This window comes from Homo sapiens, chromosome 10 (assembly GCF_000001405.40).
Source record: "Homo sapiens chromosome 10, GRCh38.p14 Primary Assembly".
Lineage (NCBI taxonomy): Eukaryota > Metazoa > Chordata > Mammalia > Primates > Hominidae > Homo > Homo sapiens.
In genome coordinates, this window is record NC_000010.11 from 102897991 (window position 1) to 102921952 (window position 23962).

Here is a 23962-nt window from a genome sequence, read left to right on the forward strand (position 1 = left end):
TCTTTAGGTCAGTTTCAAGTTTTTGAAATGGGAATAAGTGACACTGAAGGAAGATTTTAATAAATGAAACAGTTGTGTGACCTAGGAATATAACCTTGTGCTCTTAGGGAAGGACATTCTTATCTTTTTTTTTTTTTTCTTAACGGAAGACCTTTATGATAAACGCTGGAGTACAGACAGTACACGCAGCTGGCATGCAGGGTATTGCATATACTTAACATCTTGAGAGTCCTTCTGCTTTTTCTTCATCTTCTTTTTAATCCTGATATGCAAAATGTATTTTGCCATTAAAACAATTGTACTATTAAAACACTGCAGCATCTGGCTGGGCGTGGTGGCTCACACCTGTAATCCCAGCATTTTGGGAGGCTGAGGCGGGTGGATCACTTGAGGTCAGGAGTTCAACAGCAGCCTGTCTAACATGGTGAAACCCCCTCTCTACTAAAAATACAAAAATTAGCTGGGTGTGGTGGCGGGTGCCTGTAATCCCAGCTTTTTGGAAGACTGAGGCAGGAGGATCACCTGGGAGGCAGAGGTTGCAGTGAGCCAAGATCGTGCCACTGCACTCCAGCCTCGGCGACAAAGGGAGACTCCCTCTCAAAAACAAAAAAACAACAAAACACTGCAGCATCTGAAATGATGCAAACAGGATTAGGGCTATGGACTGTCTTAATAGTAATGGTAGTAATAGCATTAACAACCATAGCAGTAATATAGAGGAATTAACTTTTATTGAATAGTTAATATGTTTAAGGCACCCTGTCATTTAGTCCTCACAATCACCCCTATTATCTTCATTTGACAGATGGAGAGACTGAGGCTCTGAAAGATTCATTTACAAATCCAAAGTCATACAGCTAGAAAGTGGTGAATTTGCACCCACATCTGATTCTGGAGCTGGCACTCTAAACCAGTGTGCTGCTCCATCTCTCCATAGTTGTACTTCTCATAGAATCACAGGATGTTGGTGCAGGAAAGGACTGCTTATATCTGGGTACCCCACCTTTCATTTCCTTCAAGTCTTGAGATCTTTTTGAACTAGAAGCATGCATTTAGAAGTGATATTGATATCACCATCTCCTGTTGGTAGATAGATCATTGAGTGGAAAGAAGAGGGTTCAAGGGATTCTCCCACCTCAGCCTCATAGTAGCCACCACGCCCAACTAATTTTTATATTTTCAGTAGAGACGGGGTTTCATCATGTTGGCCAGGCTGGTCTCGAACTCCTGACCTCAGGTGATCCACTGCCTTGGCCTCCCAGAGTGCTGGGATTACTCCCAGAGTACATGAGCCACCGCACCAGGCCAGGGCAAACCCTTTCAAGCAGGAGTTCCAGTATACTGAGAGATGGAAATGCAATTGATGTGAAGTCCTAGCAGTAGCAACCAGCAGAGCTGGCCTTCTTCCAGGCTTGGAGATCCTCTGCCAGATGCTCATCTTACCAGATGCAGGCAGACCTCTTCATTTCAGAAAGGTAGACACTGAGGGACAGAGAGACCAAGGCCAGCAGGAAGTCAGTCACTTTAGTAAAGGGTCCACCAGTCTATCAGTTTCATGAATGTAGAGTCTGTGCCTGCCTTGTACACCCCTCTATTTGCAGTGACCAGAATAAGTAGTAGGACTGTAAATTTATGTTATAATGAATTCATTACCATTATTTAAAGTGGCATGTTCATGCTTTTTTTTTTTTTTTTGAGATGGAGTCTCGCTCTGTCACCCAGGTTGGAGTGCAGTGGTGTGATCTCAGCTCACTGCAACCTCCACCTCCTAGGTTCAAGTGATTCTCTTGCCTCAGCCTCCCGAGTAGCTGAGACTACAGACGTGCCACCACACCCAGCTAATTTTTTGTATTTTTAGTAGAGATGGGATTTTGCCATATTGCCCAGGCTTGTCTCAAACTCCTGGCCTCAGGTGATCCATTGGCCTCGGCCTCTCAAAGTGCTGGGATTACAGGCGTGAGCCACCGTGCCCAGACCCTGTGCTCTTGATTTCCTATCTTTGTACTTGGCTTTTCTCTGGCCCCACTGGTACTATTGTTAGAGGTATCTCATTTGGAGGTGAAAGGAGGGGAAATAAATACAGCAGTCTTGTCTTTTAAATAAATACAGCAGTCTTATGTTACTCTACTCTGAGATCTGTCTGGCCATTGTTGGCAATTTCATCTGAGCATCAGCAATTGCTAGTGACAGCCCTACATCTGGGACTCACTTTCCTGTTTGGTATAAATGTTTCTGGAGATTAGAATAAGGGAAGAGAAGTCGTTTTAGCATTTCCGTATCTCAGTTCCAAAGAGGTTTAAAAGGCACGTGCAAATGACAACCCCACAAAACAAAATCAACTGAGCAAAAATCAATGCTCTGCCCAAGAGGGACCATCTTTAAGAAGCTTTAAGTGAAGTTTACCTTGAAAGTTGTAATTAGAAGCTTCAGGAAGCAAGTGCCTTTATGGCAGAATGACTGATGTTACTCCCAGGATCTCATGGAATTGTAAAATTTTATCTCTGTTCTGTGTAAGTCAACCTAAATCAAACAGAAATATTAGTGTTTGGGTACATCAAAACACCTTTAACTTGTCCTTTCATTTTGGTTTGCCTTTTGACAGGATATAATCACAGATCCATTTAAGCTTGCAGAAGAGTCTGACAGTATGAAGTCCAGATGTGTCCCTGATGCTGCTGGAGGCTGCTGTGGCACAAAGAAAAGCTGCTAAATCTATAGCCAACCAGGGGACCACAGTAGTGGGCAAGAGTGATCTGCATGTTTTTTAACCTGCTTTTCCCCATAGCACAGACCATAAGAAACAACAAATGGGGCCGGGCACAGTGGCTCATGCCTATAATCCCAGCACTTTGGGAGGCCGAGGCAGGCAGATCACCTGAGGTCAGGAGTTTGATACCAGCCTGGCCAACATGGTGAAATCCTGTCTCTACCAAAAATACAAAAAAAATTAGCTGGGCATGGTGGTGCACACCTATAGTCTCAGCTACTCGGGAGGCTGAGGCAGGAGAATTGCTTGAACCCAGGAAGTAGAGGCTGCAGTGAGTAAGCATCACGCCACTGTACTCCAGCCTGGGCAACAGAGCAAGACTCTGTCTCAAAAGCAAAAAAAAAAAAAAAAAAAGAAAGAAAGAAAAAGAAAACAACAAATGGCAGAGAGCCACCATATTCCAAATCACTGAAAAAAATAAATGAATTATTTTTATTTATTTATTTATTTTTTTGAGATGGAGTCTCGGTCTGTTGCCCAGGCTGAAGTGCAGTGGCCCCATCTCAACTCACTGCAAGCTCCACCTCCTGGGTTCACGCCATTCTCCTGCCTCAGACTCCCAAGTAGCTGGGACTACAGGCACCTACCACCATGCCCAGCTAATTTTTTGTATTTTTAGTAGAGACGGGGTTTCACCATGTTAGCCAGGATGGTCTTGATCTCCTGACCTCGTGATCCGCCCGCCTCGGCCTCCCAAAGTGCTGGGATTACAAGCATGAGCCACTGCGCCCGGCCATAAATGAATTATTTTTAAGAGGCATTGATTAAAGATTCACAGCAAATCACTAGTTAAGCAGATTTTTTTTCTATTTCCTACTTCAAAGTTCTGGTGCCACATAGTGGTCAGAAATGGAACAGAGAAGCTGTCTTAAGCCTTGTTCAAGAAGCAGGAAAGGCATCAGAAGAAGTAACAGTTGGCAGAGGGTCTCAGGAAAAACATCTTCCTTCTGATCTTTTGCATAGCACCTTTTGGAATTTTCATCATGTTTGCTTATTAAACAAAGCTCCTACTGCCATCATACTAATCATGCAAAAAGATTGCCAAATCATGTTTGGTAGGAGGACTTTTGAGGTAGCTTTTGAACAAATGTTTTTTTCTTTTTTCTTTTTTTTTGCAATAAAGAAAACAAATTAATCATAAACATCTTTGAATCAAGTATCTCAAGAAAACAAATGAATCATAAGTATCTCACCCTAATGACTGATGACATAGTGATTATTTATTGTAAATTATCCTAACTGGGTCAGGAATAGAGTTCGATCGTTTTTTAAAAAGAGAGCTAAAAGATGTAAAAATGACCAGGCATGGTGGTATGTACCTGTAGTCCCAGCTACTGGAGAGGCTGAGGCAAGAGGATCGCTTGAGCCCAGGAGTTCCAGGCTGCAGTGAGCTATGATTGCACCACTGCACTCCAGCTGGGTGACAGAGCAAGACCCTGTCTCTAAAAAACAATAAATAAATAGGCTGGGTGCGATGGCTCACGCCTGTAATCCCAGCACCTTGGGAGGTCAAGGTGGGTGGATCACTTGAGGTCAGGAGTTCGAGACCAGCCTGACCAACATGGTGAGACCCCCATCTCTACTAAAAATTCAAAACTCAGCCGGGTGTGGTGGCATGTGCATGTAATCCCAGCTACTCGAGAGGTTGAGGCACAAGAATTGCTTGAATCTGGGAGGTGGAGGTTGTAGTGAGCCAAGATCGCACCACTGCACTCCAGCCTGAGTGACAGAGTGAGACCCTGTCAAAGAAAGAAAGAGAGAGAGAGAGGAAGGGAAGGAGAGAGGAAGGGAGGGGAGGGAGGAAAGAGATGTAAAAATGGTAGGTTTTCTTTTTCTTTATAAGGTGTCCTGGTTAAACTTTTAGCAAAATGATAGATTCAGTTTTTCCATAGTTAAAGAAGAATATTAAGAACATTAAAGAAAGGTTCAAGGATGGTAAATAATTTGAATTCCAGCTGTACTTGAAGACTTTATTGGAGGACACAGAAAGGTATAAGTGATGGTCATTATCATCAGGAGCTGGATAATTCAGTTTTTAAATAACAGCCTTCAGGCTGGGCGCGGTGGCTCACACCTGTAATCCCAGCACTTTGGGTGGCCGAGGTGGGTGTATTGCTTGAGTTCAGGAGTTCGAGACCAGCCTGGACAACATGGTGAAACCCTATCGCTACTAAAAATTCAAAAAATTAGCTGGGTGTGGTGGTGCACGCCTGCAATCCCAGCTACTCGAGGCTGAGGCACGAGAATTGCTTGAACCCAGGGGATGGAGGTTCCAGTGACCCGAGATTGCGCCACTGCACTCCAGGCTGGGTAATAGGGCGAGACTCCGTCTCAAAAACAATAAATACAAATAAATAAATAAATAGCCTTCAACCAATCAAGGGTTTTGATAAGATGTCAACCAGTTGCCCTGGGCTCAGTACAAAAACAACCAGGGGCATGGCATGGTCCAGGGGATTTCGGACTAGGGGTTTGAGAATTTTAAGGCATGTAAAACATTGGAATGGATTCCGTAGGATAGACTTCTGTTTTAAGAAAGCTGTTTAATATGGAGAAATTCTCAAATTTTTGAGTAGGTTCAGCTATAGAGCCTAACTTACTATTACAGACAGAGGAAAGAACTAGGTAGTATTTTTTTAAGCCCTATTCACCTCCATGACCTTAATTTTAAACATGCTTGCTTGGTTCTAGGGTGCCGTATCTATCTAGTCGTAACCTACTTTAATGTGAAAATGGTACATTACAGCATTAGCTACAATGGTACAGCTGGAATAAGCATACTTTGCTCTTCATGAGCACAAGATGGCCCTGCTTGGGGGGAATTGATTGAAGGGTGTTCTGTTGGCTGGGTGTGGTGGCTCATGCCTGTAATCCCAGTACTTTGGGAGGCTGAGGCGAGTGGATCACTTGAGGCCAGGAGTTCAAGACCAGCCTGGCCAACATGGCAAAACTCTGTCTCTACTAAAAATACAAAAATTAGACAGGCATGGTGGCCAAGGCCTATAATCTCAGCTACTCAGGTGGCTGAGGCACAAGACTCGGCTGAGCCTGGGAAGTGGAGGTTGCAGTGAGCCTGGGAAGTGGAGGTTGCAGTGAGCCGAGATCACACCACTGCACTCCAACTTGGGTGGCAGAGCGAGACTCTGTCTCAGAAAAAAAAAAGGGGGGGGGTGTTTTGTTTATTTGGTTTATTGGGCTTTTTGGCATTTACAAGGAGAGGGTATTAGCTTTTTACTTGTCCTTCTGAACTCTCAGTTCCCCAAAAAGATGTTGAGTAATGGGATTGGGCTGGGCAACTTAGCAAGACCCCATCTCTAAAAAATAAAAATTTTATATTTTTTTATTTTTATTTTTTTTCAAGACGGAGTCTTGCTCTGTCGCTCAGGCTGGAGTGCAGTGGCATGATCTTGGCTCACTGCAACCTCCGCCTCCCAGGTTCAAGTGATTCTCCTGCCTCAGCCTCCCGAGTAGCTGAGATTACAGGCACACACCACCACACCTGGCTAATTTTTGTATTTTTAGTAGAGACGAGGTTTCACCATGTTAGCCAGGGTGGTCTCAAACTCCTGACCTCATGATCCACCTGCCTTGGCCTCCCAAAGTTCTGGGATTACAGGTGTGAGCCACTGTGCCCAGCCTAAAAAAAAAAAATTAAAAAAAAAAAAAAAGAATCATGGAAGGCTGCAGAAACTTTTCAGCTTACCAACTCAGGGAGGCCCAGCAGTAGCCTCAACAGGCCCCCACCCCCACATCCAGCCATGCATAGCTGAAAAGGGCATGGCTTTGTGCCAAGACAGCCCCAGAGCCTGCTCCTCCTATTTATTCTTGGCCTTTACTTGGATGGCTCCAGGGAAGCAGCTGAGGTAGTCACTCATTCTGCCATGTTAAGATGGGAATTGTATTAAATGAGTCTGGCAAGGTATGGGAACTGTCTATCCTTTCTTTCATTCATTCACTAAATAGTATTATCTCCTGTGTACCAGGCACTGTCCTAGGCACTGGTTGCTAAAATGGAATATTATGAACCCCATGGGCCAAGAGGACAAAAACTGCTGAGTGTATTTTCTAAACTTTGTTGGTACCTGTCCTGACTTCTGTGATTTGCCAATTTTCTTCAACCACACACCACAATTTGGGTCCAAACAAAGGTTCTTCTGTAGGCCCTGCCCTGAGAGTCAGTAGAGGGAGATCTCACTAGAGTAAAAATGAACTCTTTTTGAGGTTACAGTAAGCTATGATCATGCTACTGCACTCCAACCTGGGTGACAGAGCAAGACCTTGTCTCCCAAAAAAAAAAAAAAATTCTTTTGCAAATATGAAGCTGAAATTATACAATCCTAACAACAACCTATGATGAGCTTTACTGCTTCATTCCAGTTTCTGTTCAACTGCTGACCCTGCAATTCCTGAAAGCACAACTCCCACTGAGGTTAATAGGAGTGTTATGCGAATGTAAGTTTTGTACTTAATTTCCTCCTGCTGAGTGAGCCTTGGTTGTGTTGGACTCACAATTGTAACAATTCCTTTCCGCAGTGGGAACATGGTGGCCCCACCTTCCATGTGGCAGGGCCATGCTGCAGTGCAATGCTCCAGGTGAGGGGGGAGATCAATTTAGAACCAAAATATTCTGGCTTAATACTACTTCATTGCCTCATATAGTAGCATGATGCCTCATAAGCCAGAGAGAGTAAAAATGTAGACTGGCCAGTCAATGATGTTCTAGGCACACTGTAATCCAGACTTGGGTCTGATAACTTTTTTTTTTTTTAGAAATGAGGTCTTGCTATCTTGTCTGGGCCAGACTTGAACTTCTGGGCTCAAGTGATCCTCCCATCTCAGCCTCCCAGGTAGCTGGGACTGCAGGCACATGCCAGTGAGCTCATCTCTAACTTTTAAACTAGGCCTAAAGCCACTAACCTTTTTCTCATTGGTGGAGTGAAAAGTGATGCAGGAGACAGGAAGCAAGTATTCTTTTAGATCCGGCTCTGCCGCTGAACTAGTTATTTGGCCATAGGAACATCATTTGTCCACTTTGGGATTCACTTTCTCCATCTGTCAAGTGAAGGCATTGAACTTGGAAGACTCTCAAGTTCTCTTCCATATGTAAAAACAGATTTATGGGTCCAGATTCTGTGGAGGTCACAGTGTTTTTTCCAATTTTTTACAATCAGTTGCCCACATTTATAAATCAGAAAATTCTGTATAAAATATGAATTTGGGCTGGGCGCAGTGGCTCATGCCTGTAATCCCAACACTTTGGGAAGCCGAGGTGGGCGGATCAGGAGTTCGAAACTAGCCTGGCCAACATGGTGAAACCCGTCTCTACTAAAGATACAAAAATTAGCCAGGCGTGGTGGTGCATGCCTGGAGTCTCAGCTACTCGGGAGGCTGAGGCAGGAGAATCGCTTGAACCCAGGAGGCAGAGGTTGCAGTGACCTGAGATCACACCACTGCACTCCAGCCTGGGTGACAGAGCAAGACTCCGTCTCAAAAAAAAAAAAAAAAAAAAAAAAAAAAAAATATATATATATATATATATATATATGAATGAATTTGGGGCTTCTTGAAAAATTGAAAATGCTGGCAACAGCAGCCCTACATTTCTGCATAGTTGTGATGGCCATGGCTGAGTAATGGGTTCCCCTTCAGACAGGGCATGTCACTTTAGACAGTGTGCCACCATCCCCACCTCAAGTCAACTTCACTCACCCCTGTAGGCCTTTGAGTTTGTGACCCTTTTTTAAGTATTAGAATTAGTACAGTTTCATCAATGTTACAAGTGAGGTTTTTTTCTATCATACCTCAGATGATGGAAGTCAGTGACCTAATCTATGACACTAACATATATTTAATTCATTACAAGCAGTAGCCAAGAAGGGCACATGGAGCTTTGCAGGGACGCTCGCAGGAGGACACCAGAGAGTGCTAGAGCTGCTTATGGTAATGTGACCTACAACTCAGAGCCTAATTGTGTCAGGTGAAGTGGCCTGGACAGTTTACTCTCTGTTCTCAGAGTTAACAAGCTCCCATCACATAACTTTCTTTGTGAATATTAAATAAGCCTACGCTGGAAAGCAAATGTCAAGTTGCCAGGGAGGAGAGGTTTGCACAGCAAGTGCAGAATGATTCGTGTGGCTTCTAGGCTTTGTAGTTAATCTTTTATTAACTGTCCTTATTTTCTTTTTAAAATTAACCTTATTATTCCTTTCAACTGGATCTAACTAAGGAAATGCTATGAAGGAGGTATTTTTATTTTTGCTTTTAAATAATGTAGCAGGAGCCCATGAAGCCAGTGCAACCCTTTAAAGATGGTGATTTCTCATGGTTATGAGGAAGATTCATTGGTTTGTGTGAGATAAAAACCAGACAAATACCCCACGTTGTTTCTTTACTAAACTCCCTTATGCCTCCCTCACAATGCTGATTTTTCTAATTTTACAGAAAACTGAGGCTGAGTATATTCAAATGGTTTAAATGATGGGATCACTTTTTTTGTTTGTTTTTGAGACAGGGTCTTGTTCTGTCACCGAGGCTGGAGTGCAGTGGGGCGATCTGGGCTTACTGCAACCTCTGCCTCTTGGGCTCAAGTGATCCTCCCATCTCAGCCTTCCGAGTAGCAGGGACTACAAGCATGCGCCACCATCACAGAGCTAATTTTTGTATTTTTTGTGGAGATAGGGTCTTCCTGTGGTGCGCAGGCTGGTCTAGAACTCTTGGGCTCAAGCGATCCACCTGCCTCGGCCTCCCAAAGTGTGGGGATTACAGGCATGAGCCACCGTGCCTGGCCGGGATCACATTCTAATAAATGTTAGAACAAAGGCCAGAACTTGTTCTGACTCTTATACCATTGTATTAAATGGTTTGTCCTTGTTTTCCTTTAGGGAATTTTCCCAAATTTAAGAATATAGCAACTAAAAAGGGAAATGATTACTATAAAAGTAAGGATAGTGGCCAGGGGTGTGGTGGCTCACACCTGTAATCCCAGAACTTTGGGAGACTGAGGCAGGCAGATCACTTGAGATTAGGAGTTTGAGACTAGCCTGTCTAACATGGCGAAACCCCATCTCTACTAAAAATACAAAAATTAGCTGGGCGTGGTGGTGTGCACCTGTAATTCCAGTTACTCAGGAGGCTGAGGTGGGAGAATTGCTTGAACCCGGGAGGTGGAGGTTGCAGTGAGTCAAGATTGCACCACTGCCCTCCAGCCTAGGCAACAGAGCAGGAATCTGTCTCAAAAAAAAAAAAAAAAAAAAAGTAAGGATAGTAGATACATCTGGATTAGAGGGAGAGGTGTGTAGTCTAGTGGTCTAGAAGGGATATATAGGGGTTTTCTTGACTAGGGGGTGGTCACCTTTACCATGATAATTATCAAGTGAACATAGTCTGCCTGGGGCTGTCCCAGTTTAAGCCTCAAACCAGGTTAAATTTTTTTTTTTTTTTGACACGGAGTCTTGCTCTGTCACTGAGGCTGGACTGCAGCGGCGTGATCTCAGCTCACTGCAACCTCTGCCTCCCGGATTCCAGCTATTCTCCTGCCTCTGCCTCCCAAGTAGCTGAGATTACAGGCGCCCACCACCACACCCAACTAATTTTTATATTTTTAGTAGAGACATGGTTTCGCCATATTGGCCAGACTGGTCTCGAACTCCTGACCTCAGGTAATCCACCTGCCTTGGCCTCCCAAAGTGCTGGGATTACAGGCGTGAGCCACCATGCCCAGCCAGGTTAAATATTAATAGTAGCCTTTTTTCATTTTCAAAGGGGTTCTGTTTTAGATGATATGTTATGTGTTCAGCTATTATACTGTACATTTATGTTTTATGCACTTTTATGTATTTATTATATGTCAAAAATGTTTTTAAGTTAAAAAAATTAGTATCAGGAAGTCTGGCCTATGATCAGGAGTCCAGGCCAACCTGGGAAACCTTGCATTTGCTTTAAGATTCAAGATTACTACAGAGACCACAGCAGTAGTATTGCCAATCCAGGTGTGGACTTCCTGAACAGAGGCTGTGATGCCCCACCTTGGTTTTCTTCTGGCTCCTGTGACATGAGATAGTTAGCTTTGGTTCTTTGTCCTGCATATGGCTGGAGAAGTGGCATAGCTCTTAGTTCTAATTGTGAAGGTCAGTCCAAGATAATATATGAGAAAGTGCATTGTAAACAGTTTAGGTTTTTTCTACTTTGAGTGGCAGGAGTTTCCTAAATTCCTAGATCGGCAGGACCTCAACATCATTGCAGTGCTACCTGTCAGGTTAATCTTCCTGTAATACAGCCTTTCTACTTGAAACTTTTTACTATAACTCCTGGATACCTACAGAATGAAATCTAAAGTCCTAAACTTGGCATTCAACGCACCACAAACTGACATCCAACCAAGTTTCCAACACTATTTCTGCTGTTCCTCTTCATTGGCTATTGAACCACATTCAACCATGTGGTGTTCCAAAAATGCTGTTCCCTTTCCAACCTCACCTCATACTTTTCTCTCCAGTAGAATGCCTTGTTCTTTCTTATTTTATTTTTATTTTTTTTGACGGAGTCTTGCTCTTTTGCCCAGGCTGGAGTGCAGTGGCATGATCTTGGCTCACTGCAAACTTCTGCCTCCTGGGATTGATTCTCCTGCCTCAGCCTCCCAAGTAGCTGGGATTACAGGCACCCGCCACCACGCCTGGCTAATTTTTGTATTTTTATTAGAGATGGGGTTTCACCATGTTGGCCAGGCTGGTCTTGAACTCTTGACCTCATGACCCACCCACCTCAGCCTCTCAAAGTGCTGGGATTGCAGGCGTGAGCCACCGTGCCTGGCTTCTTTCTTATCTTTCAATCCCTTTGGTGGGGACCGAATGTCCGTGTCTCCCCAAAATTCATACATTGAAGCCCACAAGGTGACTGTATTTGAAGATGGAACCTCTAAGGAAGTACTTAAGGTTAACATAGGTCATCAGGGTGGGGCCCTGATCCAGGCGCCTAGTGTCCTTACAAGAAGAGACACCTAGGCCGGGCACAATGGCTCACGCCTGTAATCCCAGCACTTTGGGAGGCCGAGGCGGGCGGATCACGAGGTCAGGAGATCGAGACCATCTTGGCTAACACGGTGAAACCCTGTCTCTACTAAAAAAAAATACAAAAAATTAGCCGGGCGTGGTGGCGGGCGCCTGTAATCCCAGCTACTTGGGAGGCTGAGGCAGGAGAATGGCGTGAACCCGGGAGGTGGAGCTTGCAGTGAGCCAAGATCGCGCCACTGCAGTCCAGCCTGGGCGACAGAGCAAGACTCCGTCTCAAAAAAAAAAAAAAAAAAAAAAAAAAAAAAAAAGAAGAGACACCAGAGAGCTGGCTCTCTCTGTGCACATATAGAGGAAAGTCCATATGAGGACAAAGTGGCTGTCTGCAAGCCAGGAAGAGAGGCTTCCCTGGAAACTCACCCTGTTGGACCTTGATCTGGAACTTTTAGCCTCCAGAACAGTGTCCATTGTATAGGCCAACCCGTCTGTTATGGTTTGTTTGTTTTTGTTTTTTTTTTTTGAGAGACGGAGTCTCACTCTGTCGCCCAAGCTGGAATGCAGTGGCACAATCTCGGCTCACTGCAATCTCCGCTCACTGCAATCTCCGCCTCCTGGTTCTAGCAATTCTCCTGCCTCAGCCTCCCAAGTAGCTGGGACTACAGGTGCACACCGCCACGCCTGGCTAATTTTTTGTATTTTAGTAGAGACTGGGTTTCACTGTGTTGCCCAGTCTGGTCTCTAACTCCTGAGCTCAGGCAATCCACCTGCCTCGGCCTCCCAAAGTGCTAGGATTACACGCGTGAGCCACCACACCCAGCCCTGTTATCGTTAATACTGAGTGTCAACTTGATTGAAGGATGCAAAGTATTGTTCCTGGGTGGGTCTGTGAGGGTGTTGCCAAAGGAGATTAACATTTGAGTCAGCGGGCTGGGGAAGGCAGACCCACCCTTAATCTGGTGGCCACAATCTAATCAGTTGCCAGCGAATATAAAGCAGGCAGAAAAACGTGAAAATGTGAGACTGGCCTAGCCTCCCAGCCTACCTCTTTCTCCTGTGCTGGATACTTCCTGCCCTCCAACATTGGACTCCAAGTTCTTCAATTTGGAGATTCAGATTGGGTCTCCTCGCTTCTCAAGCTTGCAGACAGCCAATTGTGGGACCTCGTGATCGTTTAAGTTAATACTTAATAAACTCATTTATATATATATATATATATAAAGGCTATATATATATATAAAGGCTATATATATATAGGCTATATATATAAAGGCTATATATATATAAAGGCTATATATATATAAAGGCTCTCTCTCTATATAAAGGCTATATATATATAAAGGCTCTCTCTATATATAAAGGATATATATATAAAAAGGATATATCTATAAAAAGGATATATCTATATAAAGGATATATATCTATATAAAGGATATATATCTATATAAAGGATATATATCTATATATAGGATATATATATATATAAAGTTCTGTCCCTCTAGGGAACCCTGAGTGATACACTGTCTACAGTATTTTGTTATGGCACCGTGAGCACACTAAGACACCCTTTTTGGAATAGCTCTGACATGGCATATACCTAAAACTTCTATTCCTCAAAGTTCTTCAATCCTTCCCCTTTATTTTACTTCTTAAGACATTTGATGCTCTATCTTGTATTATGTAGTTATTTATGTAAACATTTGCTAACTTCCTTGCTAGTAAGTTTTTAGGGTAACCCCTGATTCCATATTGCAGCTCTGCAGTGCCTAGTACACGGTTTGGAAGTTATTAAATATACAATATATATTAGTTGATAAATTTACAAATAAAAGGGGAAAACTAAATGAGGTGAGAAAACACAAACTTTTTATTTAAAATTTAAAGAGGACATAGAAAATTGAGGCAATGTATTACTAAATGGGAACAAATAAGTTAAATCTTCAGTTTAGTGATATTTAAAATAAATAGGTTCCTGCCAGCAGAGGTGTTAAAATATATATATAAAAAAAATAGGTATCTCAGAGGAACTAAAAATAGGGGCGGTTTTGTTTTGTTTTGTTTCTCCCACTGACATGTTGTTTTGTCTTTGCATGGGGGGATTTGACTTATTGGAGTAGAATTTTAGCCCAGCTTCAGAGGCTGTGGAGAAAAGACCATGGGAATGAGCTTAGCTGGTATGGGAAAGCTGATATTTTATGACTAGGGTCATAAATGGAAGCTCTGGTGTCAGCACCCTGCAGGTCTGAGTCTTATGGGAGGGCTCAGAATTGGACATTCAGGACCTATTTGTTTTCCTGGCATCTTATTCCTAGTTACCATCCTCCTGTCAGAGTCTTCTTTATTTCCCACCTGTTTCTCACTTCCCAAATGTAATTTTAAATTAGTCTTTTGAATAGGTAAGATTCATATGGTTCAACATTTTAAAACTTCTATATAGAAGTGAACTGCTTCCCTAAAAGCATGGCCTGGGTTGAGTGTTTTAGTCACAGTGATAAGGATAACCAAGCTCAGAGCCTTGCTTACACCCTTGTCCACACCTGAGCAGGAGGCTGGAAGAAACAGGCATAAAGAGCGTTCTAGAAGATTCTAGAAAATCTCACAGTGGCAGGGCTTGGCAGTCAGAGAGCAGGGGTGCTGGAGTAGGGCAAACAGTGGACTTTTAGCAGCAGAACTGTTCTCTGAGTGGCCCAGTAGGGTCAAGGGGGCAGTGGAGAAAAGGAGGGAGTGCCAGCTCAGAGCACAGAAGACCTCCCATGTGGGCACCTGACAGCCCCATTCCCAGGAACAGCGGCACCCAAGGAGCGTGGGGGCCCTTCTCAAAGAAGGATGCTTTTCCCACAACTCCATCAAAAAGCCACATTTTTCTCTCCTACCTAGTAACAATGTTCAGAAAATATTTAGCAAAAGGAGGAAAATGGGAAAGCCCTAAATAAGAGGCCTGAAAACTCTTCTTGAAATGGTAAATGGTGTTGTAGATTTTATGTTACTTTTTTTTTTAACTGTTGTGAAAAAGTCTTAGCTAAAAGGGTTCTATGTATTTGAGCAAGTGGATAGTGTTGCTTCAGAGAAATCCCTCTCAGGGTGAACAGATTTGATACAGATTTGACTCTATGGAAAGTGTGGTTAACTCCAGCATTTTCCTAGTTCCTGTTTTTCCTCAGATCTTGTGGGGTTGTTTGTTTCAGACAGTCTTACTGTCACCCAGGCTGGAGTACAGTGGCGCCATCTCGGCTCACTACAATCTCCACCTCCCGGGTTCAAGCGATTCTCCTGCCTCAGCCTCCCGAGTAGCTGGGATTACAGGCGCCCACTACCACACCCGGCTAATTTTAGTATTTTTAGTAGAGAAAGGGTTTCACCATGTTGGCCAGACTGTTCTTGAACTCCTGACCTCAGGTGATCTGCCTGCCTCAGCTTCCCAAAGTGCTGGGATTACAGGCATGCACCATCATGCCCAGCCCTTTTTTTTTTTTTTTTTTTTTCTGAGATAGGGTCTCATTCTGTCACCCAGGCTGGAGTGCAGTGGCACGATCACAGCTCACTGTAGCCTTGAACTCCTGGGCTCAAGTGATCCTCCCACGTCAGCCTCCTGAGTAGTTGGGACTACAGGAACATGCCACCATGCCCAGCTAACATTTCATTTTATTTTTGGTAGACAGTGTCTATGTTGCCCAGGCTAGTCTTGAACTCCTGGGCTCAAGTTATCCTTCTGCCTCAGCCTCCCAAAGTCGTGGGATTACAGGCATGAGCCACCATGGCCAGCCAAGATCTTGTGTTTTGGTGTGATTAAAATGTCATTGTTGGAGCCTGGTGCATTAGCTTGTGCCTATAGCTTCAGCTACTCAGGAGGCTGAGGAAGGAAGATTGCTTGAGTTTGAGCCCAGGAGTTTGAGGCTGCGGTGAGCTATGATTGTGCCACTGCACTCCAGTCTGGGCAACAGAGTGAGACCCTGTTCCCTAAAAAGAAAAAAGAAATGATACCGTTGAAGCAATAAATACGAATACTTTTTATAAGTAGGCAATTTTTGGAAAAAAGAAAAGCTTCTCTATAAAATCAGCTTTATGTTCAGCAACAAAATGTGTAGAATGACATTTAGTGTTTTACTTGCCATCTTTAAGAAAATCAAACTTATCAAACTTTAAAAGACTTTTAGGTCTGGATGCAATGCCTTCTAAATCCCTGAACCTACAGACTTGGGAGCTTATCTTTTGCAGATGAGAAAATTGAAGTCACCTTTCCCTTTTAGTATATAGTGAAGGATTCTGGAAAGAGAGGGTTAGTTAGGGAAGGTATGTGGTTCTAGCTTTATCTAAATGACTTGCCCAAGGTCAGACCGTCAGAACTTTAAATAGGATTGGGCAGCAGCAGCAACCATTTAGCAATCTTGGGCCTTTTGTCCCCCTTTATGGAGGTGAAATATCATAATTCAAGAGCCTCATTTTTGTTTTTCTTCCAGATTTCAGAAGAGATCCCTAGAGGCAGGTGTTGACCTTGCCCTCCATTTAAACAAATGGACGGGCTGGGAAGTCCCTGGAAGTCACCATAAGCCTGCTCTATAGCAGGTACTCACTAAAGAGGGTAACGGCCGAGCATGGTAGTTCACGCCTGTAATCCCAGCACTTTGGGAAGCCGAGGCAGGCAGATCACCTGAGGTCAGGAGTTCGAGACCAGCCTGCCCAACATGGCAAAACCCCGTCTCTACTAAAAATACAAAAAATTAGCCGGGCGTGGTGGCAGGCTCCTGTAATCTCAGCTACTTGGGAGGCTAAGGCAGGAGAATTGCTTGAACCTGGGAAGCAGAGCTTGCAGTGAGCTGAGATCATGCTGCTGCACTGCACTTTAGCCTGGGCGACGAGCAAAACTCCTTCCCCACCACAAAAAAAAAAAAAAAAAAAAAAAAAAAGAAGAGAAACTACTGAAGCCAAAAAGCCTCCAAACTTGAAGATCCCTCTTGCTAAGGAACAATTACTTGACTTAGGCATCTAGATTGCTCTGTGTGTCTTGAGTATACATGAAGAGTATAAACCCCCACCAACCATCCAGGATCATTCAGCAACCCTCTGTGTGAATTTGAGTTTTTTTTTTTTTTTAATATTGTAAGTTGTCTGGGTGTCCTTTCTGACCTTTTCTTCTATGAAGTCCTGAATTTCTAACTTGCTTCTAAATTGCTGAATGTCACATTGTCCTGTTGTAGCTTTCTCTGAAATGCACAGGAAATGTCTGTAGGGTTGGCAAGCTCCTCCTCCCCCGACTTCACTCCTATTCCACACATGTACTTTCAGCATTTGAGAGCCTGTCTTCTCTCTTAGCTCCCTTAAAAACATTTGTAGTATTTCCACTTTTTATGAAGTTAAAATGGTTTATTTTCAATCCACTGAGTTAGAAGGATCATGTCTATCCTTAACCTTTGCCAAATATCCTTAAAAATCATTTTTTTCTTGGGAAACTTCCATAATGCCATTCTTATAAATGCATGCCAAGCCTGAGCCTGTGGGTGGTTTTCTTCATCTGAACTTACTTTTCAAATATAGCAGTATGAGACTTGAGGTAGGGGAAGCAGCATCAGAAATGGAAGGGCTGGAAACTAGACTCAGGACATTGTTTAAAATAATCAGAATAAATACTTTCATTTATTTAACATTCTACATATATTGTTTTGAATATCTATCATTGGCCAGGCCTGGTGGCTCATACATGTAATCCCAGCACTTTGGGAGGCCAAGTAAGGAGGATCTCTTGAGGCAAGAAGTTTGAGACCAGCCTGGGAACATGGCGAAACCCTGTCTCTACTAAAAATTAAAAAAAAAATTAGGCAGATGTGGTGGCATGTGCCGGTAGTCCCAGCTACTTGGGAGGCTGAGCCCAGGAAGTGGAGACTGCAGTGAGCCATGATTGTGCCACTGCACTCCAGCCTGGATGACAGAGCGAGACCCTGTTTTGTTTGTTTGTTTTAAAAAAAGAATAAAGAATATCTAGGGCCAGGTGTGGTGGCTCATGCCTGTAATCCAGGCACTTTGGGAGGCCCAAATGGGTGGATCACCTGAGGTCCGGAGTTTGAGACCAGCCTAGCCAACATATAGTGAAATCTCGTCTCTACTAAAAATACAAAAATTAGCTGGGCGAAGTGGTGCATGCCTGTAGTCCCAGCTACTTGGGAAGCTGAGGCAAGAGAGAATCCTTTGAACCTAGGAGGCAGAGGTTGCAGTGAGCCGAGATCGCACCACTGCACTCCAGCCTGGGTGCCAGAATGAGACTCCATCTCTCTCTCTCAAAAAAAAAAAAGAAATATATATATATATATATATATATATATATATAAAATATATATGTATATAATATACATCTATCTATCTATATATCTACTATTCTTCTAGGCCCCTGTGATACAGCAGTGAACAAACAGACACACTTTCTGCCCTCAGGGAGCTTAAGTTCTAGTGGAAGAAGACAGATAACAAACCAAATCAATAATTTACATAGTGTATTAGAAAGTGATCTTTGCTTTCAAGAAAAATAAAGTAGACGCGGCATAGAGGGAGTGTTTTCCGCAAGTTTAAAATCAGATGGCTTTTGAGCAAAGCACTAAAGGAGGTGAACAACAAGGCTATGCTGACATCTGGGGGAAGAAAGTCCCAAGCCCAGGAAACAAACAGTAAGTGCAAAGGCTCGCAAGGGAAAATCCCTGGAGTGATGGAGAAACAGTTTGGAGAGAAATTAATTTGGCTTATTATCAGTCTCCTTCCACTAGGAGAGCAGCAGGTAATGAGGTCCGAGAAGTAACGGGAGGTAGCAGACCTTCGAGCCTAGTAGGATGTTGTAGGTCCTTTGGCTTTCTCTAGGATGAGATGGGAAGCCAATGGAGGCGTTTCAGCCAAGGGAGCAACAGAATCTCATGGACAAGATCACTTGCTGCTGGGTTGAGAAGGGAAAGGAACAGGTATCGAAGAGGAAAGATCAGTTAGGAGGCCACTGCAATCATTCCAGAAATTACTCATACCAGAAATTAATCAGAGACGTTTGATGCATTTACAAAAGCGGTGGTAGGGGGGCGCGGGATGTGCTTGTAGAATACAAAAGAGGTAGAGAAACATTAAACATTTTGAATGTTTTAAGTTTCTTTTTTTTCTTTTTTTTTTTTTGATACGGAGTCTCCCTGTGTCACCCAGGCTGGAGTGCAGTGGCGCGATCTCGGCTCACTGCAAGCTCCGCCTCCCGGGTTCACGCCATTCTCCTGCCTCAGCCTCTCCGAGTAGCTGGGACTACAGGCGCCCGCCACCATGCCCGGTTAATTTTTTGTATTTTTAGTAGAGACGGGGTTTCACCGTGGTCTACGATCTCCTGACCTCATGCTCCGCCCGCCTCGGCCTCCCAAAGTACTGGGATTACAAGCGTGAGCCACCAACGCCCGGCCTGAATGTTTTAAGTTTCAAGGAAAAGACCAATTTGGCAGCTACTCTGCTACCTCGTCACCTCCAGGTGACGTTGGGAGTACTGGGGAGCTAGGTTTCCAGAACTTTTTGCTCTTGAGTGACCTAAGACCCTAGCAGAGTTTGGTCAGTGTGATTAAGAATGAGCCTCTGTGGGTCTGTTTAGGATGCTTGCCCCCTCCCATTTCCTTAACTTGCCTGAATTCCTGCTGGGAATACAGATTCGGGGCCCTTCCCACTCTGTAAATATGGGAAAAGGTCTAGGAAGTATATACTCCTAGCAATAATATGTAGGGGTTCTATGACTAGGAAATTTGGGGAACTGTCCCCCTGACCGCTCCATCCGTAACTTCTGCACACCTTTTGGGGTACGCCGCCGACCTGGAAAGCGTTGCAGGGCGCTCATGCTGCCCGCAGGTGGCGCCACGTGATCGCGAGCCGCAGAGAGCCCGTACCCTAGGAGTCTCGAGGCGCGAGGACTGCTGGTCCGCAGCTGTGCCGGGGCCACCGACGCCGCTTACCCCGGCGGAGCGCCGCGCAGGTGGAGTTGGGGACAGCGGCCGGTGCCCCGGCTTTTTAGGCTGTGTGCATCCCAAGCCGCCTCTAGTTGGCTTCTCGGGCTTCCGGGGCAGGAGGGCGCGCGGCTTTGTGCCTACGAATTGAGAACTGGAGAGCCAGTAACCGGTGCACCGGGAACCTGCCGCCTTGCGCCGCAGGGCTTTAGTCCAAACCTGGCCGGTCCAGGCTCCGGGATCTACTACAGGGGCCCCTGGGGAGCGCGGGCCCCAGGGACGGCTCCTTCCCATTGGCAGCAGGACGGATGCCACGCCCCTTTTTCTTCAGCTCTCATCTTTGACTGGCTCTCGAGTCCCAGATGGCCACGCCCCCTCCCCTCGCACATACACAAGAGTCACGCGCCTTTCAGTTGGAAACTTGGCGTGCAGACGGGGACGGTGGCTCTCGTCGCCCCACCCACTTACCTTGCCATTGGTCCGCGGAGCGGCACACGGTCACGCCCCCATTCCAGCCCCCTGGCTGGGAGGGCGGGCACCCGCTTGTGATTGGCTGGTCGGCCTGCCTCTCGCGGGAGCAGCCGGCGCTCCTCTCCCTCCCTCTTTCCCTCCCGCGAGCCTCGGGGTTCCTCAGCTGGCTGAGGTGGAGTCAGTGTCAGTCAGGGAGGCGAACTGCTGAGCACTGGCCGCGGACGCTCCGTTGCAGTCTCGCCCAGGGGCCGGTACCTGCGCTCGCGCCGCCGGGTTGAAAGGATGAAGCCGCAGCTGGAGCAGCCACCCTATGATTGGCTGTGGCGCTTGTGAACCCAAAGTAAAGATGGCGGGCGGGCAGGCAGCCGCCGCACTGCCCACTTGGAAGATGGCGGCGCGCCGCAGCCTCAGCGCTCGCGGCCGGGGGATCCTGCAGGCGGCTGCGGGGCGGCTGCTGCCGCTGCTCCTGCTGAGCTGCTGCTGCGGTGCGGGCGGCTGCGCAGCGGTGGGCGAGAATGAGGAGACGGTGATCATCGGGCTGCGACTGGAGGACACGAACGACGTGTCGTTCATGGAAGGGGGGGCGCTGCGGGTGAGCGAACGGACCCGGGTCAAGCTGCGGGTGTACGGGCAGAACATCAATAACGAGACGTGGTCCCGCATCGCCTTCACCGAGCACGAGCGGCGGCGCCACAGCCCGGGGGAGCGCGGGCTGGGGGGCCCCGCGCCGCCAGAGCCGGACAGCGGCCCCCAGCGATGCGGCATCCGCACCTCAGACATCATCATCTTGCCCCACATCATTCTCAACCGCCGCACCTCGGGCATCATCGAGATCGAGATCAAACCGCTACGCAAGATGGAGAAGAGCAAGTCCTATTACCTGTGCACGTCGCTCTCCACGCCCGCCCTGGGCGCCGGCGGCTCGGGGTCCACGGGTGGCGCCGTCGGGGGCAAGGGTGGCTCGGGGGTGGCCGGGCTCCCGCCGCCCCCGTGGGCCGAGACCACCTGGATTTACCACGACGGCGAGGACACCAAGATGATCGTAGGCGAAGAGAAGAAGTTCCTGCTGCCCTTCTGGCTGCAGGTGATCTTCATTTCGCTGCTGCTGTGCCTGTCGGGCATGTTCAGCGGCCTCAACCTGGGGCTCATGGCCCTGGACCCGATGGAGCTGCGCATCGTGCAGAACTGCGGCACGGAGAAGGAGAAGAATTACGCCAAGCGCATCGAGCCGGTGCGCAGGCAGGGCAACTACCTGCTGTGCTCACTGCTGCTGGGCAACGTGCTGGTCAACACCACGCTCACCATCCTGCTCGACGACATCGCCGGCTCGGGCCTCGTGGCCGTGGTAGTCTCCACCATCGGTATCGTCATCTTCGGAGAGATCGTGCCCCAGGCCATCTGCTCCCGGCATGGCCTGGCTGTGGGGGCCAACACCATCTTCCTCACCAAGTTTTTCATGATGATGACCTTCCCCGCTTCCTACCCGGTCAGCAAGCTGCTGGACTGCGTCCTGGGCCAGGAGATAGGCACCGTCTATAACCGGGAAAAACTGCTGGAGATGCTCCGGGTCACCGATCCCTACAACGACCTCGTTAAGGAGGAGCTGAACATCATCCAAGGGGCGCTGGAGCTCCGCACCAAGACGGTGGAGGACGTGATGACCCCACTCCGGGACTGCTTCATGATCACCGGCGAAGCCATCCTGGACTTCAACACCATGTCTGAGATCATGGAGAGCGGCTACACCCGCATTCCAGTGTTTGAAGGGGAGCGCTCCAATATCGTGGACCTGCTGTTTGTCAAAGACTTGGCCTTCGTGGATCCCGATGACTGTACCCCCCTGAAAACCATCACCAAATTTTATAACCACCCCTTGCACTTTGTTTTCAATGACACCAAGTTGGACGCTATGCTGGAAGAATTTAAGAAAGGTGGGAAATTTTGGTCTCTTTCATTGGCTTGCTCTTTCTCTCTCCATCCTCCTCCCTACTTGAGTCCTCTACCCTCAGACCAACCCCCCAAGGCGAGTTGACCGGGATTTCTCCTTCTCCCTCTTAATTGCAAAGTTGAAAGGGTGGCGTGGATTTGGGGATGGATTGAACTAGTAAGTGCTACTAGGTTATTTTAAAGCACAAGACTGCCATCACTTACTTTTTCCCATTATCAAAAAGCAGGCTGTGTAATTTCTGTGCATGACACTTATTTATTTTTTTTTTTTTGGTCCCGTGTGTGGGCCTCTGTTCTTGAGGGGTCTGCCGCCTTCATTGTCTGGGTTCTCAGTGAGTAGGTGAAGGTAGGGGCTGGCTGATGCCATGCCATTTGGTGGACTTTAATCACAGGCATTTGGAAAACATGTAACTAGCTTTTGTAAACCCAGTGCAGTCCTTTTTCTCCTCCTTAAACATCCACACTGGCCTTTCAAAGATCGAAGTACATTTTCTATAGCTTCTGTTCCTGCTTGCCTGGCAACTTGTGGGGAAGATTGAGGTCTGCCTTTGAGGGTAAGGGGTGGGGTAAACTAAGTATCGCCAAAAAAAATCACCCATTTTGGATGTGACTTCTCTTAGCTAGAAAAGAGTTGTTGTTGTTGTTTTAAATTAAAGTTATTAATATGTAACTTGGAAAGATTAGAGGTTAGCCAGCCTTTTGTGAAGAGGCTGTATGTCCCGTAGCCTTCTTCACTATTTGTTTACATTTATCTGACAACAGTTACAGTTGCCCAAACCAAGTGTGATTTTGGCAGAAAGCTTGAACCTTTAACAGTGGGATGAATCCCTCTATTGGGGCTTATTTATTTCTTGACTCTTTCAGTTTAACGTGTTCTTTTTTTCCACCTTGATCATCCGATACATTAAGTTGAAGTATGTCTCCGTCAACTCTCACCGTTCCAAGATGCTTATACAGTACATCATTTATATTTGTTCGTTTGACCATATAATGAACAGGTAAATAGCAACTTGTACTATTATTATTGAAGTTCTGAATGTTTCCAGTAAATAGTGTTATTTGAAAACCAAGGGATGCTGAGTTTTTGAATTATTAAGATGCTAGGGCATGTGCAGGTATTGAAATGTGTATGTAACCTTTCGTGACCTGATAGTCCTCAAAACCAAGTTTCCCTTCTTCAAATAGAATTTTGATCACTGGTAGTAGTCTCTCCTCTGAAAAAGGTGATATGTACCTGGTGACAGCTCACTGGATGTGATGATCTGAACATACTCAAAGAGTGTATGGTTGTCCTAATGCCATTTTTCTGGTTGAATGATGTCCTCTCTAGAACAGGATCACATTGTAGTAAGTTTTATGTAAAGGAACAGGGCAGAATGTGCTTTGAAGATTGGTAAATTTGCATTTAAAAGCAGAAGGAGGTTCTTCTGGTTTCTTAAATAGTAAAAAGAAAATGTCCAGTATCTCTAGGTGACATAGCTTCTTTTGGGGGTGTCATTCTTTCACCACTAAGTTGTTAATTAGAGCATCTAACTTCTTTCATTTTGCAGTAATATCTGTAATACAGAAAGATATATTGGGATGTTTGGAAATGCCCCTGAAAGTCTTTCTATTGCTAAATTTCCCAATATTGATACAGATGATCTATTGCATGAGTTTTTTATTACTTAGAATTTTGCACATTTACTCATGAATTGATAACACTAGTTTGTACTTCTTGCTGAAGTCTTTTCTTCACTTCTATATCTTTTTACCTTGAGAATTTAGTTTTTCACCTCACAGCTCCTTAATGCCGCCCTTACTCAAAATTTCAAAATTCGTATTATTTTGAAATT

General features: G+C 45.6%; 2 protein-coding genes and 2 long non-coding RNA genes across 6 annotated transcripts in view, besides 8 other annotated features; 3 read left to right on the forward strand and 1 right to left on the reverse strand.

The window, feature by feature from the left end:
* The window catches only part of BORCS7-ASMT (BORCS7-ASMT readthrough (NMD candidate)), a 47690-nt gene extending 43781 nt beyond the window's left edge, over positions 1-3909 (forward strand). Inside the window, exon 15 of the long non-coding RNA NR_037644.1 lies at positions 2603-3909. This is a non-coding gene — a long non-coding RNA (BORCS7-ASMT readthrough (NMD candidate)). The remainder of the gene's footprint in view (positions 1-2602) is intronic.
* Positions 1-3909, forward strand: part of AS3MT (arsenite methyltransferase) — a 32430-nt gene extending 28521 nt beyond the window's left edge. The window contains exon 11 of the mRNA NM_020682.4: positions 2603-3909. Coding sequence (NP_065733.2) covers positions 2603-2710 — 108 coding nt within the window. The 3' untranslated portion in view covers positions 2711-3909. The remainder of the gene's footprint in view (positions 1-2602) is intronic.
* Positions 69-569: an enhancer, noted in NCBI's record as "H3K4me1 hESC enhancer chr10:104657816-104658316 (GRCh37/hg19 assembly coordinates)". NCBI's record gives its function as "activates a minimal SCP1, AML or CMV promoter by ChIP-STARR-seq in naive H9 embryonic stem cells {active_cell/tissue: H9 hESC(naive)}" and the evidence as "EXISTENCE:reporter gene assay evidence [ECO:0000049][PMID:30033119]".
* Positions 570-1070: an enhancer, noted in NCBI's record as "H3K4me1 hESC enhancer chr10:104658317-104658817 (GRCh37/hg19 assembly coordinates)". NCBI's record gives its function as "activates a minimal SCP1, AML or CMV promoter by ChIP-STARR-seq in naive H9 embryonic stem cells {active_cell/tissue: H9 hESC(naive)}" and the evidence as "EXISTENCE:reporter gene assay evidence [ECO:0000049][PMID:30033119]".
* LOC107984265 (uncharacterized) lies at positions 713-20345 on the reverse strand. The gene is made up of 3 exons (NR_160733.1): positions 20178-20345; positions 2404-2520; positions 713-1482 (listed from the first exon to the last, which is right to left on the reverse strand). It is a non-coding gene; the product is annotated as an uncharacterized LOC107984265 (long non-coding RNA).
* Positions 12042-12336: an enhancer, noted in NCBI's record as "tiled region #3077; HepG2 Activating DNase matched - State 8:EnhW". NCBI's record gives its function as "activates a minimal TATA promoter and a strong SV40 promoter by Sharpr-MPRA in HepG2 cells {active_cell/tissue: HepG2}" and the evidence as "EXISTENCE:reporter gene assay evidence [ECO:0000049][PMID:27701403]".
* Positions 12042-12336: a silencer, noted in NCBI's record as "tiled region #3077; K562 Repressive non-DNase unmatched - State 23:Low". NCBI's record gives its function as "represses a minimal TATA promoter and a strong SV40 promoter by Sharpr-MPRA in K562 cells {active_cell/tissue: K562}" and the evidence as "EXISTENCE:reporter gene assay evidence [ECO:0000049][PMID:27701403]".
* Positions 19257-19943: an enhancer, noted in NCBI's record as "H3K27ac hESC enhancer chr10:104677004-104677690 (GRCh37/hg19 assembly coordinates)". NCBI's record gives its function as "activates a minimal SCP1, AML or CMV promoter by ChIP-STARR-seq in primed H9 embryonic stem cells {active_cell/tissue: H9 hESC(primed)}" and the evidence as "EXISTENCE:reporter gene assay evidence [ECO:0000049][PMID:30033119]".
* Positions 19944-20630: an enhancer, noted in NCBI's record as "H3K27ac hESC enhancer chr10:104677691-104678377 (GRCh37/hg19 assembly coordinates)". NCBI's record gives its function as "activates a minimal SCP1, AML or CMV promoter by ChIP-STARR-seq in naive H9 embryonic stem cells {active_cell/tissue: H9 hESC(naive)}" and the evidence as "EXISTENCE:reporter gene assay evidence [ECO:0000049][PMID:30033119]".
* Positions 20100-20279: a silencer, noted in NCBI's record as "silent region_2774". NCBI's record gives its function as "represses an Ori minimal core promoter by ATAC-STARR-seq in GM12878 lymphoblastoid cells {active_cell/tissue: GM12878}" and the evidence as "EXISTENCE:reporter gene assay evidence [ECO:0000049][PMID:35858748]".
* Positions 20304-23962, forward strand: part of CNNM2 (cyclin and CBS domain divalent metal cation transport mediator 2) — a 171929-nt gene continuing 168270 nt past the window's right edge. For all 3 annotated transcript variants that reach the window (NM_017649.5, NM_199076.3, NM_199077.3), the window contains exon 1: positions 20304-22111. In NM_017649.5, coding sequence (NP_060119.3) covers positions 20491-22111 — 1621 coding nt within the window. In that variant the 5' untranslated portion in view covers positions 20304-20490. The remainder of the gene's footprint in view (positions 22112-23962) is intronic.
* Positions 20890-20979: a silencer, noted in NCBI's record as "silent region_2775". NCBI's record gives its function as "represses an Ori minimal core promoter by ATAC-STARR-seq in GM12878 lymphoblastoid cells {active_cell/tissue: GM12878}" and the evidence as "EXISTENCE:reporter gene assay evidence [ECO:0000049][PMID:35858748]".